General features: G+C 38.6%; 1 protein-coding gene across 4 annotated transcripts in view; it reads right to left on the bottom strand.

Annotated features, from left to right (window-relative positions):
* VWA5A (von Willebrand factor A domain containing 5A) overlaps window positions 1-18,499 on the bottom strand; it is a 32,272-nt gene extending 13,773 nt beyond the window's left edge. Inside the window, exons 1-11 of one of the 4 annotated variants that reach the window (XM_011542828.3) lie at window positions 18,467-18,499; window positions 17,269-17,383; window positions 16,395-16,582; window positions 16,074-16,276; window positions 15,538-15,760; window positions 15,241-15,416; window positions 14,860-14,974; window positions 10,820-10,989; window positions 10,495-10,583; window positions 10,145-10,289; window positions 9,633-9,712 (exon numbers count right to left, since the gene is read on the bottom strand). In XM_011542828.3, coding sequence (XP_011541130.1) covers window positions 9,633-9,712; window positions 10,145-10,289; window positions 10,495-10,583; window positions 10,820-10,989; window positions 14,860-14,974; window positions 15,241-15,416; window positions 15,538-15,760; window positions 16,074-16,276; window positions 16,395-16,485 — 1,292 coding nt within the window. In that variant the 5' untranslated portion in view covers window positions 16,486-16,582; window positions 17,269-17,383; window positions 18,467-18,499. Of the gene's footprint in view, window positions 1-9,112; window positions 9,713-10,144; window positions 10,290-10,494; window positions 10,584-10,819; window positions 10,990-14,859; window positions 14,975-15,240; window positions 15,417-15,537; window positions 15,761-16,073; window positions 16,277-16,394; window positions 16,583-17,268; window positions 17,384-18,466 lie in introns of those variants that run through there. The other 3 variants (NM_001130142.2, NM_014622.5, NM_198315.3) reach the window with 3 other exon arrangements.
* Window positions 18,500-18,794: the final 295 nt, after the last annotated feature.

The raw sequence follows: 18,794 nt of genomic DNA, 5'->3' as shown, positions 1-18,794 counted from the left end.
AAAGTGACAGACCCGGTCTCTAAACAATCAAACAACAACAACAAAAATATATTGATGACTAACTAGAACTCACGACAGTGCTGCATGTGGATGATAATAAAAATTAAAATATTACAATAATAGCAAAATTTTATATAGCACTTACTTTTTATCTAGCACAGTTCCTAATACTTTCCCTAAGTATACTCTTTTAACCATAACAATAAATCTGTAAAGTGAGTACTATTAGGTTTCTAATTTTCATGTGAGGAAACTAAGGCATGGAGAGATGAGCTGATTCATCTTCTGCAGGCAAGCAGAAGAACTGTAACTTAAATCAATGACTTCTGACTTAAAATATAACACCCTAGGAAAGTTCTGCTCACAGCAATGCCACTGTAAATTGTTTCAAGCCAGCAAAGAACTAGGAAAGCTGTATACAATATTTACAATAATTTGTTTGAAAACATCAAAGGTCTACCAAGATAAAAATCTATAGGCCAAGACCTGGGAGAAGAGAGAAGCCAAGAGAATTGAGCCCAGCATCTGATGTTCCTTGACCCTTTGAAGCAAGTGCCAAGTACAAAAGCAGATGACTTAAAACCTAAGTGGTTACACGCAGGCGGGAGGAACAAAATATCAATTTGCACTTTCCACAGCCAAAGTGTTCTTGTAAACAACTAAGAATTTAGGATAAAACCCTAAAGGACTACATCCCAGAGGTAGAGGTGAATCAGAAATAGACCAGCCATCACCGCGACTGAAGTTCATCAGACCCTGACTGGATTAACATTATCTGTTCCCAGTCTATCCAGCGACCATTCAGAAGCAAAGAATGAAAAGAATGAATCCTCTCAGAGGGAAGACATCATCTAGAGGAACATCTAATTTCTATAATTTTTTCTTTGACAACTAACAAAAATAGAAAATCCTCTAATATTGGGAAATTAGGCACTGTACTTGTGAATTATACAAGCTTAAAAAAGAAATCATAATGATAATTGGAAAATATTAAGTGGATGACAATGGCAAATGTCATATCCATATTTAAAATTCAGCTACAGATGTGCTTAGATCTATAGCTCTGAATATACACATTAGAAAAGAAAGTCTAAAAATCAACTATCAAGCATCTGTCTCAAGATGTTAAAAAAGGATGGCCAATGAACCCAAGGAATGTAAAAGAAAGAAAATAATAAAGATAGATTCGAGCAGATATTAATGAAATAGAAAACACTTATATGATAGAAAGTACCAACAAACCCAAAGGTGCTGGTGTTTTGAAATTATTATTAAAATTGATAAATATCCAGTGCAAGGAAAGAAATATTAATAGAAAAGGCACAAATAACCAACATTAGGAAAGAAGAGGTAATATCGCTATATATTCTACAAAATTTAATAACATTATTAGGCAATATCATGGACAATTTCATGCAAAGAACTTCAATAAAATATACAAACTTTTATAAAAAATAAGAACACATAAAATATGAATAGTTCAAAACAAAAACTTTCTCAAAAAAATCCAGGCCAAGAGAGCTTTGCTGGCAAATTCTAATAAATATTTATGAAAGAAAACCTTTTGGAGCAAGGAAAAAAGGCAACCTTCACAGCTCATTTTATGATACTAGCATAAAATTGATATCAAAACCTAACAAGATAAGACAATATATGTCAATATTTCCCATGAAAATAGATTCAAAATCCTGAAAAAAGTATTATCCAACTGAATGAAAAAATATATGAAAGAGATTAATACATCACAACTACTTTGGGTTTATTCCAGAAATTCAAGGTTGGTCTAACATTTAAGAATTATCATTAGAATTCACACTTTAAAAGAATAAAGGATAAAATCACACATTCATCTAAACAGATGCATAAAATACATTTGATGAAATTTAACAATCATTAATTATTCAAAACAAAAGAAAGAAAAGAGAGAAAAGAACCCTCAAAACAGAAATAAAAGGGAATTTCCTTAATCATAGAAAGGATAACTACAAAAAAAGGGAAACCCTTACAGCAAACACCATACTTAATCGTGCAAAGTTGAAATGTTCCCTTTGAGGTCCAGAATAAAATAAGGATATGATCATTTTGATTCAGATTTCTGTTAGAGGTTCTCTCCAGGCTAATCCAGAAGGGAAGAAAATTTTTTAAAAAAAAATAAGAAAAAGAGAAAATTTTAAAAAATAAGAAAAATAAAACTGATATTTTTTGCAAATGTGATTCTTCATAGAATATCTAAAAGAGTCTGCAAATATATAATTTAATTAATATCTAAATTAATTAACATCATTAAATACAAGTCAAGGTAAAACAAGCTATTAAAATTCATTTCTATATGGAAATAAACATCCAGTAAATAAAATTATTAAAAAATACTATTTAAAGTAGCATCAAACACCTAGGGAAACAATTTAATAAAAAAATGCATGAAGCCCTCTACACAGAGAATTATAAAATATTACAGAGAGATTTTGTGTGTACAGAAGGCTTCCCTTATCTGCAGTTTTACATTCTATAGTTTCAGTTATGTGCGGTCCACTGCAGTCCAAACATATTAAATAAAAAAATTCCAAAAATAGACAATTCATACATTTTAAATTGCATCCCATTCTGAGTCGCATGATGAAATCTTATGCCATGCTGCTCAATCCCACCCTGGACATGAATCCTCTTTATCCAGCATCTCCATGCTATCTGTATTACCGTTAATCACTTAGTAGCAGCCTCAGGTATCAGATAGATATTTATAATTTATAAATTAAATTTCATCATAAGTATGTATGTATAAAAAAATTGGTACATATACGGTTTGGTATAGTATCCACAGTTTCAGGCGCCCACTAAGAGTCTTGGAAGGTATACCTGATGGATAAGGGTGGACTACTTATAGGTAGATTGAAGAAATGAGTATGTTTACTGATTTTGCTGGAAGCTAGGTTTATCTCACTGTAGAAAAGAAGACATAAATACAGAATTGGAGAAAAGAGGAAGAATGCTACACTGCTACCTTTGAAGCAGGGGCATAAGTAAAAATTTCAGAATTTTTTAAAAACATTTGCCAGTTCTGTCTGTTGAAAATGCCAAGAATAAATAACAGCCCAATAGTAAGGAACAGACGTAACACTCAAATATTGATTTTTATTTATTGCTTTCACTAAAAACAATATTCACTAAAAACTATTTCTTCAAGGGCTTTTTGATAAAAAACGACAAAGAAGGGCATTACATAATGGTAAAGGGATTAATGCAACAAGAAGAGCTAACTATCCTAAATATATATGCACCCAATATAGGAGCACACAGATTCACAAAGCAAATTCTTAGAGACCTACAAAAAGACTTAGACTCCCACACAATAATAGTGGGAGACTTTAACACCCCACTTTCAATATTAGACAGATCAATGAGACAAAAAACTAACAAATATATTCAGGACTTGAACTCAGCTCTGGACCAAGTGAAGCTAATAGACATCCACAGAACTCTCTGCCCCTAATCAACAGAATATACATTCTTCTCAGCACCACATCACACTTACTCTAAAATTGACCACATAATTGGAAGTAAAACACTCCTCAGCAAATGCAAAATAATGGAAATCATAACAAACTGTCTCTCAGACCACGGTGCAATCAAATTAGAACTCAGGATTAAGAAAGTCATTCAAAACCGCACAACTACATGGAAACTGAACAACTGCTCCTGAATGACCACTGGGTAAATAACAAAGTTAAGGCAGAAATAAATAAGTTCTTTGAAACTAATGAGAACAAAGACACAATGCACCAAATTTCTGGGACACAGCTAAAGCACTGTTTAGAGGGAAATTTATAGCACTAAATGCCCACAGAACAAAGCAGGAAAGATCTAAAATCGACACCCTAACATCACAATTAAATAGAACTAGAGAAGCAAGAGCAAACACATTCAAAAGCTAGCAGAAGAAAAGAAATAACTAAGATCAGGGCAGAACTGAAGGAGATAGAAACAGAAAAAACCCTTCAAAAAATCAATGAATCCAGGAGCTGGCTTTTTGAAAAGATTAACAAAATAGACTGCTATCCAGACTAATAAAGAAGAAAAGAGAGAAGAATCAAATAGACACAATAAAAGTGATAAAGGGAGTATCACCACTGATCCCACAGAAATACAAACTACCATCACAGAATACTATAAACAGCTGTATGCAAATAAACTAGAAAATCTAGAAGAAATGGATAAATTCCTGGACACATACACCCCCCACCCCAAGACTAAACCAGGAAGAAGTCGAATCCCTGAATAGACCAATAACAAGTTCCGAAATTGAGGCAGTAATTAATAGTCTACCAACCAAAAGAAGCCCAGGACCAGGAGGATTCACAGCTGAATTCTACCAGAGGTACAAAGAGGAGCTGGTACCATTCCTTCTGAAACTATTCCAAACAAAAGAAAAAGAGGGAATCCTCCCTAACTCATTTTATGAAGCCAGCATCATCTTAATACCAAAACCTGGCTGAGACACAACAAAAAAAGAAAATTTAAGGCCAATATCCGTGATGAACATGGATGTGAAAATCCTCAATAAAATACTAGCAAACCGAATCCAGCGGCACATCAAAAAGCTTATCCACCATGATCAAGTCAGCTTCATCCCTGGGAGGCAAGGCTAGTTCAACATATGCAAATCAATAAATGTAACCATCACATAAACAGAACCAATGACAAAACCCACATGATTGTCTCAACAGATGCAGAAAAGGCCCTCGATAAAATTCAACACCCTTTGTGCTAAGAACTCTCAATAAACTAGGTATTGATGGAACATATCTCAAAATAATAAGAGCTATTTATGACAAACCCACAGCCAATATCACACTGAATGGGTAAAAGCTGGAAGCATTCCCTTTGAAAACGGGCACAAGACAAGGATGCCCTCTCTCACCACTCCTATTCAACATAGTATTGGAAGTTCTGGCCAGGGCAATCAGGCAAGAGAAAGAAATAAAGGGTATTCAAATAGGAAGAGAGGAAGTCAAATTCTCTCTGTTTGCAGATGACATTATTGTCTATTTAGAAAACCTTATCGTCTCAGCCCAAAATCTGTTTAAGCTGATAAGCAACTTTAGTAAAGTCTTAGGATAGAAAATCAATGTGCAAAAATACAAACATTCCTATACACCAATAATAGACAAACAGAGAGCCAAATGATGAGAGAACTCCCGTTTACAATTGCTACAAAGGAATGAAATACCTATGAATACAACTTACAACGGATGTGAAGGACCTCTTCAAGGAGAACTAAAAACCACCGTTCAAGGAAATAAGAGAGGACACAAACAAATAGAAAAACATTCCATGCTCATGGATAGGAAGAATCAATATTGTGAAAATGGCCATACTGCCATCAAGCTACCATTGACTTTCTTCACAGAATTAGAAAAAACTACTTTAAATTTCATATGGAACCAAAAAAGAGCCCATATAGCCAAGACAATCCTAAGCAAAAAGAATAAAGCTGGAGGCATCACGCTACCTGGCTTCAAACTATACTACAAGGCTACAGTAACCAAAACGGCATGGTACTGGTACCAAAACAGATATATAGACCAATGGTACAGAACAGAGGCCTCAGAAATAATGACACACATCTACAACCATCTAATCTTTGACAAACCTGACAAAAACAAGTAATGGAGAAAGGATTTCCTATTTAATAAATGGTGTTGGGAAAACCAGCTAGCCATATGCAGAAAACTGAAACTGGATCCCTTCCTTAAACCTTTTACAAAAATTAACTCAAGATGGATTAAAGACTTAAACATAAGACCTAAAACCATAAAAACCCTAGAAGAAAACCTAGGCAATACCATTCAGGACATAGGCATGGGCAAATACTTCATGACTAAAACACCAAAAGCAATGGCAACAAAAGTCAAAATTGACAAATGGGATCTAACTAAACGAAAGAACTTCTGCACAGCAAAAGAAACTATCATTACAGTGAACAGGGAATCTACAAAATGGGAGAAAATTTTTGCAATCTATCCATCTTACAAAGGGTTAATGTCCAGAATCTACAAAGAACTTACAAATTTACAAGAAAAAAACAAACAACCCCATCAAAAAGTGGGCAGAGGATATGAACAGACACTTTCCAAAAGAAGACATTTATGTGGCCAACAAACATGAAAAAAAGCTCCTCATCACTGGTCATTAGAGAAATGCAAATCAAAACCACAATGAGATACCATCTCACGCCAGTTAAAATGGTGATCATTAAAAAGTCAGGAAACAACAGATGCTGGAGAGGATGTGGAGAAATAGGAAACCTTTTACACTGTTTGTGGGAGTGTAAATTAGTTCAACCATTGTGGAAGACAGTGTGGGGATACCTCAAGGATCTAGAACCAGAAATATCATTTGACCCAGCAATCCCATTACTGGATATATACCCAAATGATTATAAATCATTCTACTATAAAGACACATGCACACATATGTTTATTGCAGCACTGTCACAATAGTAAAGACTTGGAACCAACCCAAATGCCCATCAATGATAGACTGGATAAAGAAAATGTGGCACATATGCACCATGGAATACTATGCAGCCATAAAAAAGGATGAGTTCATGTCCTTTGCAGGGACACGGATGAAGTTGGAAACCATCATTCTCAGCAAACTAACACAGGAACAGAAAACCAAACACTGCATGTTCTCACTTATATGTGGGAGTTGAACAATGAGAACACATGGACACATAGAGGGGAACATCACTCACTGGGGCCTGTCAGGGGGTGGGGGGCTAGGGGAGGGATAGAATTAGAAATATCTAATGCAGATGATGGGTTGATGGGTGCAGCAAACCACCATGGCACATGTATACCTATGTAACAAACCTGCATGTTCTGCACATGCATCCCAGAACTTAATAAAAAGAACATAATGAAAAATTGACAAATATGGCCTGCATTTAGATAATGTGTTATCTCAACTTTAAATGTCTTGAATTTAATAGTTGTATTGTGATGTAGCAGAATGTTCTTGTTCATAGATGAGTGCATAAGTGTTTATATATGAAGGGTTATGACATCTGTGGTTTGCCCTCAAATATTTCAGACAAAAAACATAGCTGAAACAAATGTGGTAAAAGGTTGACAACTGGTAGACCCGGGTGAAGGTTATATGGTGTCCATTGTTCTTTTTTTTTTTTCAAGAAGGATTCTTGCTCTGTCACCCAGGCTGGAGTGCAGCGGTGTGATCTCGGCTCACTGCAACCTCTGCCTCCTGGGTTCAAGCAATTCTCCTGCTTCAGCCTCCTGATAGCTGGGATTACAGGCACACACTACCATGCCCTGGCTAATTTTTGTATTTTTAGTAGAGACAGGGTTTCACCATGTTGGCCAGGTTGGTCTCAAACTCCTGACCTCGTGGTCTGCCTGCCTCGGCCTCCCAAAGTGCTGGGATTACAGGACTTCAATCACTGCGGCCAGCCCCCATTGTTGTATTTTTGCAAGATCTCTATATGTTTAAGGTTTCTTAATAAAATGTTGGAAACAAACACTTCGAGAAATCAGAAAAGACCAAAGTAAATGAAAGGATATACTATGTAAATAGACTGGAATGCTCAATATAGTAAATAGTAAGTCCTGCTTAAATAGATCTAGTCAATGCAGTTCTAGCCAATATACCAATAGGTTTCCTTTTTTGGTAAAAACTGACAAGCTAATGCTAAAATACAAATACTAAGAGTCAAGTGTAATCAAGACAGTCTTGGTTATGAAATGAACAAAATTGAGGACTTATCACTATTGGAAACCAAGATTTATCATGAACCTGTACTAATTTATATGGTGTAGTTCTAGCACACGTCTAGATGAATAGACCAATGCAATGGAACAGAGGACCCAGAAACAATGTACATGTATACAGGTGCTTATTGATGACAGAGATGACACTGTGCATTACTGAGAAAAGGACAAACTTTTCCATAAATGGAATAGGGTCAATTTGATATCCACATTACAAAAATACGAAACTTTGGATAGGGAAAGACTTTTTAACAGGACACAGAAAACACTAACCATAAAGGAAAAGACTGAAAAATATCAAACTACATTAAAATTAACAACTATTACTCAAATACATTTTGAAGCTAAGAGCAAACTATAGAGTATTTCTAGAACATACAGTCAACAAAGAGCTTGTATCCAGACTACAGAATGAACTATATAGATCAATAAGAAAATCAATCTAATAGAAATAAATAAGTAACAGGAAAAAGACTTGAAAGCACATCACAAAAGAGGACATCCAACTGGCGGGTAAATATGAAGTGGTGCTAAACTTCATTCATCAGCAGGAAAATGTAAGTTAAAACCATAATAAGGGGCCTGGCACGGTGGCTCACGCCTGTAATCCCAGCACTTTGAGAGGCCAAGGCGGGCAGATCAAGAGGTCAGGAGATCGAGACCATCCTGGCTAACACGGTGAAACCCCATCTCTACTAAACATACAAAAAAATTAGCTGGGCGCGGTGGTGGGCACCTGCAGTCCCAGCTACTTGGGAGGCTGAGGCGGGAGAATGGCGTGAACCCAGGAGGCGGAGATGGCAGGGAGCCGAGATAGCGCCACTGCAGTCCGGCCTGGGCGAAAGAGCGAGACTCCATCTCAAGAAAAAAAAAAAAAACCATAAGACACCACGACACACACACAAAACTAAAATTTAAAGACAAACAATATCATGTTTTGGATAGGAAATTAGGCGATTGGAACACTCCTACAATTTAATGAATTAAATTAGTACAATCATTTGGAAAAATGTTTGGCATTCCCTAGAAACTCCACAATTCTGTCTACTCAGAGAAAAATCTACGTATATAAATAGGTATGTATGCATATACACGTGTGTGCAAAACAATACATGTACAAGAATACAAAACTGTTCACAGCAGCATCATTTTTAACAGCCAAATCGAAGTCCAACAGCATTAAAATCAATATATAAATTATGGCATAGTCATTTTGTGGAATACTATACATCAATGAAAATGAACTATGGCTATACTCAAAATGTATATGAATCTCTCAACACACTGCTGAAAGGAAAGAAATAATATACACAGAAACAAAAGCATACTGTATAACTTATTTATTTTCATTCAAAAACAAGCATAAATAACCCATGGTATTGTAAGTCAGGAAAGTTTTAGTGTGTAGTGACAGGGAATAGGACATGATGGAAAAGGGTACAGATGGAGAGGCCTACGACCATTCCAGTTTTTACCTATGTGGCGATCACACAGTGCATTCACTGTGATAATGAGTCCAGTTGTATGCTTATAATTTGTGTAGTTTTCAGCATGTTTTACTTCTCTAAAAATGTTTATAGTAAAAAAAATTAACATCTTACTATTCAATTCTTGTGTTCGTTGTAGTTTAGAAAGAATAAGAAACAATGGTTTTGCTGTGTTGTTGATGTTATTTGGAAAACTGTTTTTAACGTTTACAGGGAGAAATAAATTTTCAGCTGCTAAAACTAAATTCTGAAATCATTTGGTCCTCTTGAAGGAAGGTCAACACCGGCATCATGTAGCACTAGAGTCTGTGTGTCACTACTCAGCACCAATCACCCGGAAATCACATTTTCTTCCTACCTGTGTTTCTGTCTGTTGATCCTAACTTCTTTAATTACACTAAACGTGTCTGTAACTTCTCCATCTGTAAAGACAAAAAGCTATACAAAGAAAGAAAATGTTCATCAGGTCTTTGTCAAGTTCTTTTTAAGAAACCAGAATTTGCCCTTGAAAAATCCACCTATTTCATTGCAGAGGCTCTGGTGCCTCTTCAAAGAGGCATGAAATCCCTAATGTTTCAGTCGCTGGCACCACATTCTCACATGATCTGTTCAGAACCCTGGGAATTTTTAGCACCTCCCCTCCTAGCTGCATCTCAGTTATTGTGGCACTCCATAAAAGGCCTTCCAGTGTCCATCGCATGGAGTTAAGGAAGAAGACAAATGCATCATCTTTTTTTTTTCTGTTTACTATATGATAGAAGACTGTGAATTGCAAACTATATTTCAACATACTGCATGAAGCTCAGGGGCATAGATTCTTAGAGATTTCACACTTCCTGTCTCTTCTGTTAGCTCTGTTCCACTTCTTACCTGTAGGGGGTGGCCTGGGATGGAGGGTCCCCTGTAAATGTTCTGGAGTGGTGCCAAGATTTCAGTGCCCCCTAGGTCGGCCTGCATAAGCTTCACTCTCCCCAGAGCCTCCTCCATTGTTTGCTGAGTGTACTTCACACTCTCCCTGAGAAAAACAAACACACCCAGTTACATGAGGGTTACTTAACCTTGCCCAGTATAGAGTCCCTGAATTGAGAAACCCCCATTAAAAGAGAGTCTTATCCGAAACCCCCAATGCCAAAGTCAACTCCGCAGTAACCCCTTTAACAATTTAGTCCCTTTCTTTAAAGTCTCGTTTTGTACTCCCTATTGTCTTTCCAGAAACTTACGGAAAGCATGCCTCATAGGAAGAGCCAAATCCATAGATGTTGAAATAACAGCCTATAGGTAAACTCTTCAGCAGCAAAATCAGTGTTTCCTGAAGGTAAGAGAGTATGAAGAGACAGAGTGAGAGAGGCTCGCCAAAACACATGGGCCCTGTCAATCGACTCTTGAGGATGTGGGCCATCCCCCACCTTGTGCCTTCTTACATTCCAAGGCTAGCCTCAGGGTGGTCGTGCTGCTCTCTCAGGCTCCAGATAGACCCTTATTTAACCCCTCAGATTCATCCTCACTTGAGCATGTGACCCAGAAGAGGAAAGAAACTAGCTTTACCTTGGCTGCCTGTATTCGCAGCTGAGATGTATCCTGGCTACTCATGGGGCTCTGCATACTTCCCGAGCGGTCCATGAGAAAGATAAACTCTCCACAGGTATTTGATGGTTGATCTTCTGGGATATTTGGATAGAAACTCACCATTGCAGATGGATCTCCCATCAAATGACCTGTTCAGAAAGGATAAAGCCACTGTAAGACAAAAAGGAACTCAAGAATCCTAGTACCTAAGAATCAATGGTAGTGAATTCAATTAAGAGCTAGGAAAACTCAAATCTAAAACACTGTGATGATTCATGTACCATAACTGCTTGCAATGGGGTCAAGGTGAGTTATAAATATATAAGACAGACAAAAACAGAACAGATATGAAAGAGAAGAAAGAGGATAGAAGTTAGTAGACACAAGCAATAGTTAAAACATTGTCACTGATTACTAGTTTCCTGGCAGCTAGGCAAATGAATGAAATACATTAGGTTAAAATGTTCCAGCATTTGCCAAAAGAATCAGACAAGTTTATCTGCAGAATCAAACCTTTTCTTCAAATCAAATAAATGGGAAATGTATCACATGGGCCTTAAGTCTTTAATTACAGCTTTGAAAAAAGTGATACTCACATGGACAATTTTTAGGTTGACAATTTACAAGTGTTGAGAGTATAAGTATTATACCCACCAAGGTAAGTCTGTCTGCTTTGGGTGTGAATAACTCGCTGATAGTCCCCAGAAGAAAGGGAAACACTGAGACACATGTTGGATTCTATTATCATCATCCAAACAATGGTGTGGGGGTGACCACAGGAGCCCAGTCTATCTGGCCATGTTGTCAAAGCCACAGCTGTGACTATTTTTAGAAGCAAGTGAGGGCTGATACAGGAATTGAAATGCTAGTATTGAGATAGAGATGCAATGAGAATGGCTAGGTTAACTCCAGCTTTACAGAAAATATAAGAGGCTATATAATTAAATTCCTTTATCCCATTTTTAAGAAGCAGTTCCAGGATCATAGATTTATATTCTCAGTAGTCCTGGGATTTGGTATGACAATAGAATCTGGCTCAGTTTAATTTCTTCTCCATAGGATATGCCAGACACCAAACTGGCTTCTAAATAAGATGGGTGTTGCCCATCAAATATATGATAGGACACTAGTTCAAAAAATAACATTTACACAATCCAGATGTCTGGATATACGATGGAGGAGGAGCTTTTGTGATGAGCAAGATTCCTTTCCATTCTCAGAGACAGCTGGTTTAAATGGAGCTGGTGCTATATTGAGGAGTCAGAAAGGGTGGCATGAGTATGATATGGGGTAACATATTTAACCTGTTTACAACAATGCCAGATGAATTGTAAGCGTTATATGTGGATTATCTACTATAATTTTAGCCTGGCTCAAATTATTTTCACCTCCATGAGTCTCAGCTTCTTTGTTTTCAAATGAGGCATTTCAAACTTTAGCTCCTCTGCTTGCTAGCCTCATGTCTTCCTCTGAAAAGTCAAGGTAGTAACACCTACGTCAAGATTATTTTAAGCCGGGGTATCCAATCTTTTGGCTTCCCAGGGTCATATAAGAAGAAGAATTGTCTTGGGCCACACATAAAATACATTAACACTAACAATAGCTGATGAGCTAAAAAAAAAATCACAAAATAATTTCATAATGTTTTAAGAAAGTTTACAAATTTGTGTTGGTCTGCATTCAAAGCTGTCCTGGGCCACATGCAGCCCACAGACCATGAGTTGAACAAGCTTGATTGTAAGAGTTAAGTAATATAATGTACTTAAGGAACTCAGTTTAGGGCTCAACTCAGATTAAACCCATAATAACCAATATTATAAAATTATTTGTAAATTTTATTTTTATACAATTTTTAAATTAAATTATAAATTTAATTTTAGAAAAACATGTTCTTAATATCGTAAGTACATCTGTTCTAAGTCTGTAAAACAAATAACATACTGTGTTTTTGTCATATATCTGTAGGTTTCATTTGGCAGAACTCTGAATGGTTTCAGTGAGACAAGCTGCCGCTTAAAGCTGTCATTCGCTTCCTTGTGTGGATGAGAACAGCAAGTCATCTTGACTAAATATACGACCTGGGAAGCAAGACTTGAGCAGTCCTGCTGGAAGGGATTCACAAGACTGTAAAGACTGTCCCTGATGTCCCCCCTTGGCCTTCAGACCTGGTCATGGGGACTAGATGAGAAAATCTGCATAGGGGCCAGGGGAACTTCTTAGAAAAACAGGGACTGAGATCTCAATCCTTACCTTTTGAGATCCAACATTATGGAACTTTCTCTGGTGAAAACAGTCCTTTGAAATAATCTTAACTGACACGTAGGTCACTGTTATGGGAATATTTCATGGACACCCAAGGAAATAGTCACCATAAGGAAAGGAAAAAGCAGATAACTAACGTACAAAGACAGAGCATGGAGCTTCGTGGAAGAGGAGATGGTTACAGCAAATCTGGTGGAAGCTGGGAGCCCCTTGAATGACCTTAGCATGGAGAGCTTGCCCTGAGGAAGAGTGGTTGAACAAGTGAGGGAAAACTAAAAAGTTCAATTTGTGAGCTCAAGTATGAAGCTACTTTGGAAGCAAACATTAACAATGAGAGAGTAGGGTACTCTGTAGAAAAACAACTACAGGGAATTTTCTTGACAACAGCTATAATTGTAAAAACAAGAGCCTAAGCCAAGCCGTCCCACTTTGAATATGATTGTCACCAAGGACATGTCCATTCCACCATGTGTAAATGCTTCAGAAGTGGCAATAGCACTCCAGTCCTGTGTCACCGAAACTCAGAAGCATGGCAGCCCAGGAAGGCCCCAAGAACACAGCAAACTGACATGGGTTACACCAATTTAAATTCCAAGAAAGAGTGCATGTACATTAAGGAAAATTTCAAAAGTAATAAACATTAAAAGAAACTAAGAAACTAAAGTTATTAAGAAGCTAAACTTAGTCTTAGAAATTAAGAAGCTAGGGCAAAACAAAAAAGTTTTGGAGATGAAGGGTGGTGATGGTTGTACAAGGTGAATGTCCTGAAGACCACAGAACTGTACACTTAAAAACAGTTAAAATGGTCAATTTTGTTACATATATTATATCTCGAAAAGAGAAAAAAACTTCAGTTGAGACTGCATGTAGCTGTGATGAATCAATCAATAGAAATTATGTATTAGATAAAAAAGAAATTAAGAACTTTCTTAATTAAGAATTAAACTTAGTCAATCTAATCACAATGACTACTTGCATTCTTCCTGTGTTTTAAAATGTTTTTCCTAAAGCACAGAGTATTTTATAGTGGTAATCTGTCTATAACTTACTTTTCTTTTACGTAACATTCTTTGGAGGTCATTTGTCCAATTACTTCAATCTGTCAATATACACTATTTTAGTAGCTGCATATTAACTCATGAAGTATACCTAGCATAGCAAATTTAGCCAATAAGAGACATTTTGATTGCTTACTAATACTCGATATTATTAAAATGGTGGGGGACATCTCAGTGCATATTTTTACTTATATATGGATTTACTTCCTTAGGCAAGATTTCTAAAAGTGAAATTACCAAAGTTAACATTGATTTAACACATATGGCCAAATTTATCCTCGAAAGGTTAGTTCACTTTTTAGCACACTCACAACCTTAAGAAAACCTTTTAAAGCATGAGGCATCAGATTTGGAAATCGTTGATAATTTGAAAGGTGAAAATGTCACATGATTATTTGGATGTCTGTCAAGACTGATCATTGCCACATGTTTATAAACTGGCCATGTTTTCTCTTGTAAATTATCTGTTCCTGGCTTTTGCCCAATTATCTACTGATCTACTTAAATTTGCCTACAAGACATATCACATGACAGTCATTAAACCTAACCATTTTTGCATGACATAGTGTAAACTATTTCAGTGTTTCACATGTATTAACCACCCCTGGAGGGAAGGAAAGAAAAGAGAGTAATTCGACAGTAATTCCAAGACAGGGAGTTGCCCCTTAGGGGATGACTACAAAGGAAGAAAGAAAATACCTGGCTTCATGTTAGGCATCCCCATCTCCAAAACCACGCTGGGGGTATGCACCTCATTGTAGTAAATCAGGAGTTCCACGTCCCGATCAAACTTGTGTCCAGCAGCCAGGGAAACCTGAGTGGAGGACAGGTAAAGGAGCCACATTAGAATCATAACTTCTTGCTTCTTGGGGCTGAGGTTAGGGCGCAGTCCTCCTCCATAAGACAGCATGACTAGGAACAGAGGTGAGGCTGGAGAGAAGGCTCTGGAGATTAAATGACGATATGCAAGGAGCATGTGGGACCCCCTCTGGGTTACCACTTGGGAAGAACTGGTTGGGGACCAAGTCAAGACTCAAGCAACAGAGGTACTGACAATAGCAGTATTCTCTCATTAACTACCTGAGCAGAAGTCTTGTCCTCTCCTAGGTACTCGGTAGGACTCAAGGGGCAGTTGGATTGGACCTTCTCAATGCCATGCTGGGAATCTATGGTGGCGACCATGCTGAGTGTGTAGGGCAGGTCCTCCACAGGGACTATAGGAGTCTTCACATTAAGGCAACTGTCCTTAGACGACCCTATAAAAGATGACCTTAGTTCTGTTTTCCTTGCCAACACTTTTTATGACACTCTCAACCTTAAGAAAATTTCCCCATTTATGTCACCCACCACTAGAATTCAAAGGGGAGAGGTACTCACCAGAGAACTGGTATCTAGGATTCAGGACAGCTGGGAGCACAAAGCGCAGAGCCCCATCTGCTTCCAGAGGCAGCTCCTGCACATACTTCAGGGTGACTGCCGCCTTCGACCCAGGTTGGAGGTTACCCACATTGCAAGAGAAGACATCCCTGGAGCTGCTGTCCCCCTCCAATAAGAAGGCCTGGTGGCCCTGGGAGATGGCTTTCTCATAGTTGGTGCGGGCCTGAGAAGCACAGGGCGAGGGATGGGAAAGAAAGGGAACATCCAAGGTGACATGGCTGAAAAAGAGACGAGCAGTGCAGAGCGACTGTGTGATTGGTCTTGTCTAATCACAGCTATACTCTGAATGCCTCTGATTGATTTCTTTCCCCAAATGATTTTAGAAAAATGGCAGTTAGAAAAGAGTGGAAGAAAGAGCTTTCAACATCAGCATGTTTTGTGAAGGTACATTTAGTAGAGATCATAAAGAGTATGCATTAAGGAAATAAGAAGGGAGGAGGTAATGTAATAAGAAGGGAGGAGGTAATCTCTACTACCTTCATCTTGTCTTGTAATTCTGCTACAATTTTCTTCCCATCCACCAAGGCCTCAAAGCTGTAAACAGCAGAGTCTTCATCCATGGGGAACACAAAGAAGGCCTCCAAAGGAACTTTCTCCTCATTCTCGTAGTTCAAAGTTGCAGACACACCAGCCACAAACTCGTAAATGTTCACGCTCACAGAGATACTCTTCAGCGGCACTGGAGATAGACCAGAGTTCAAGTTCATCAAGCTTCAATAGATTGCCTCCTTGTAGATCAAGCCTTGTGATAGGTGCCAAAGATTCAATGGCAAGTAAGAGTCACAAATTAGGCTTACCTGGCTCCCGGTGGAGGGTGAGTAGGCCACAGAAGTGCACCATGGTGATGCAAGATTTCTGCAGAAAAGACATATCACAAACAGAGGACATGTTGGAAGTTATCTGTTCAAACACCAGTACTTTATGTGCCTTTCTCTGGCATAAGAATACATTCAAAGGGTTAATGTTGGAGTTAGGAAGTTGGAACCTTTAAAAAAAAGGAGACAAAGATTTCAGTCATAAGGGTCCTTTTAAATGGCAGTCCCAGGTGGGGAAGGTGTAAGATTCACTGGTATCTACTAAACAGGAAATCTCTGAAACACCCTGAGGCTGGTTCAAATACCAATTCCACTTTCTCAAAAGTGTATTTAATTCACCACTCCTTGGGCATATGGAGTAGGTGTCACTAATCCCTCTGAGCCTCAGTATTTTCTTTCCAAAATGAGTAGTATAATATCCACACATCGTATGTGAATTAATACATGTGAAGTCCCTACAATAGCACATGGGCCATAGGAGGCATTTAATCAATGATGACAGACATCACTATTGTCCCTATTATTGTTGTTACTGTTAATCAATAAACCTCTGCCACCATTCACTTTGGATCATGGCATTCAGAGACGCGCTGCATGTGAGAAGCTGTGTGATTCAAGATGGACTCCTGCCACAGGCCATTTACCTTGTGGCTTTTCTTTTGGGACCCAAAATTAAAAGATACGAGTATATTTGTTTGTATCCATCCAAGATATTCTAATATATTTAAATATTATATAGGCACATAGCCTACATTTGCACCCCCACTAAACAGCACCAATAAATCAGGCTTTTCATTCCATATCTGTTTTTATTTTGAGAAATTGGATAAAAACTGAGTGTGGCAAAATGACTCACAATTCGACAGCAACGCAGAGGACAGTGGCAGGTGTGAGGAGAGGAGAGGATGCTCAGAAAAGGGCTTCTACGCAGACCTCTGACCTGGGCAAGTTCTCTGGTAGAACAGGCTGGGCTGGGGGAGGGAAGAATTTCTAATAACACATTAAGCAGAGAGCCTAAAGCAGGAGACTCACACAGGAGTAAAACAGCTGAAAGAGAAGCTCTCAGGCTGGGCAATACTCACCAAGGTGGCTAGAGTAAAAGAGAGAGAGACGCAAAGGGCACCCCTACAAGGAAATAGCCTTCGCTTCCTGATTCTAAGCTCAGAACAAATCCTCCGTTGAGGAAAACTTGCTATTCTGCACCCTTGCCCCCACTCTTCCCAGTACAAACAAAATTAGTTTGGGTCAGAATTAGTTCTGTCTCTCAGGATGGCACTTCAGAAAGGCAACTTGCAAGGCTTAGGTAGAGACTGGCCACCAAGCTGAAAGCCATGAATCTGAGGCAGCTGGGAGAATACAAGGCTTCCGGCCTAGCCAGGTAGCTGCTTCAGGAATGCAGAGTCCCAGCACCAGCCGCTCAGCAGCTAGGAGGGTGGGAGGGGAGCTGGGTGGCACCACCGGCCACACACACCCCTGCGGCCTGTGGCAGGGGTGAAGTGGAGAACTCGGAACCAGACAAGGAGGAGATTTGGGGTAAGAAGTGGGGCTTGGATAAAATCAGAGATTGATTTAACCTTTCCATTCAGTCCTAGATTTCCAATGTCCACGTATTTACAGAAGAGACTGCGTCGGTCTCTTACATTTCTATAGAGAAGGGCTTAGGGGCTGCAACTGATTGGAGTAGATGAGGCTTACAGCCTCATTTCCTCAGCTTACACTATCCTGAAACTGAGAAAACATCAATTGTCTATATCAAAGAAAGAAAGCGGGAAAAAAAGTAAAGTAAAAGAGAAGGAAAGTAGGAAGAAGGGCCTTGAGATTAGGAGATGGCTAAATCCCTCCTTCAACCTCCAAAAGATTCCCCTAAACTGCCAAACTTGCAGGAACCTTCCTGGGGATCATACATCAGGATGAAATCCTCCACCCATGGGGCGTGCAATTCAAGGAGCCCCTACAAATTTGGGGACTGGGGAAAGGGAGCTAGAATGTGGAGCTCTCAGTCTTCCAGAGCAGGGGTTGGATCCAGGCCCTGCACCGGTAGCTTGGTCCCCTACCTTCCTCTCCTGCAGCCCGGAGCGCTCTGAGTCACAGCGGAGTGAAAACAGCTGCAGTCATAATTTCCGGAAAGAACCGCCCCCTTCTAGGGACCGGTTATAAAGTAGCGACTACAAGACTAAGGGATCAACGGAAAATTATTGAACAAATAATCGAACTTTCGCTTGTTTGTATCAAAGGAAAAGTCTTCGACTTTGGAACGTTTGGTTTTTTTCTTTGCTCTTTGCTAAGGAACAATCAGAGAACAGGCAAAGAGGGCAAGGGAAAATGCTGCAACAGGAACAACAACAATGACATTAAAAACTGCATATTTTTGTAAAAGCTTAA

Source organism: Homo sapiens, chromosome 11 (assembly GCF_000001405.40).
Source record: "Homo sapiens chromosome 11, GRCh38.p14 Primary Assembly".
Classification (NCBI taxonomy): Eukaryota; Metazoa; Chordata; class Mammalia; order Primates; family Hominidae; genus Homo; species Homo sapiens.
This window is presented reverse-complemented; position numbering and strand designations above follow the sequence as displayed.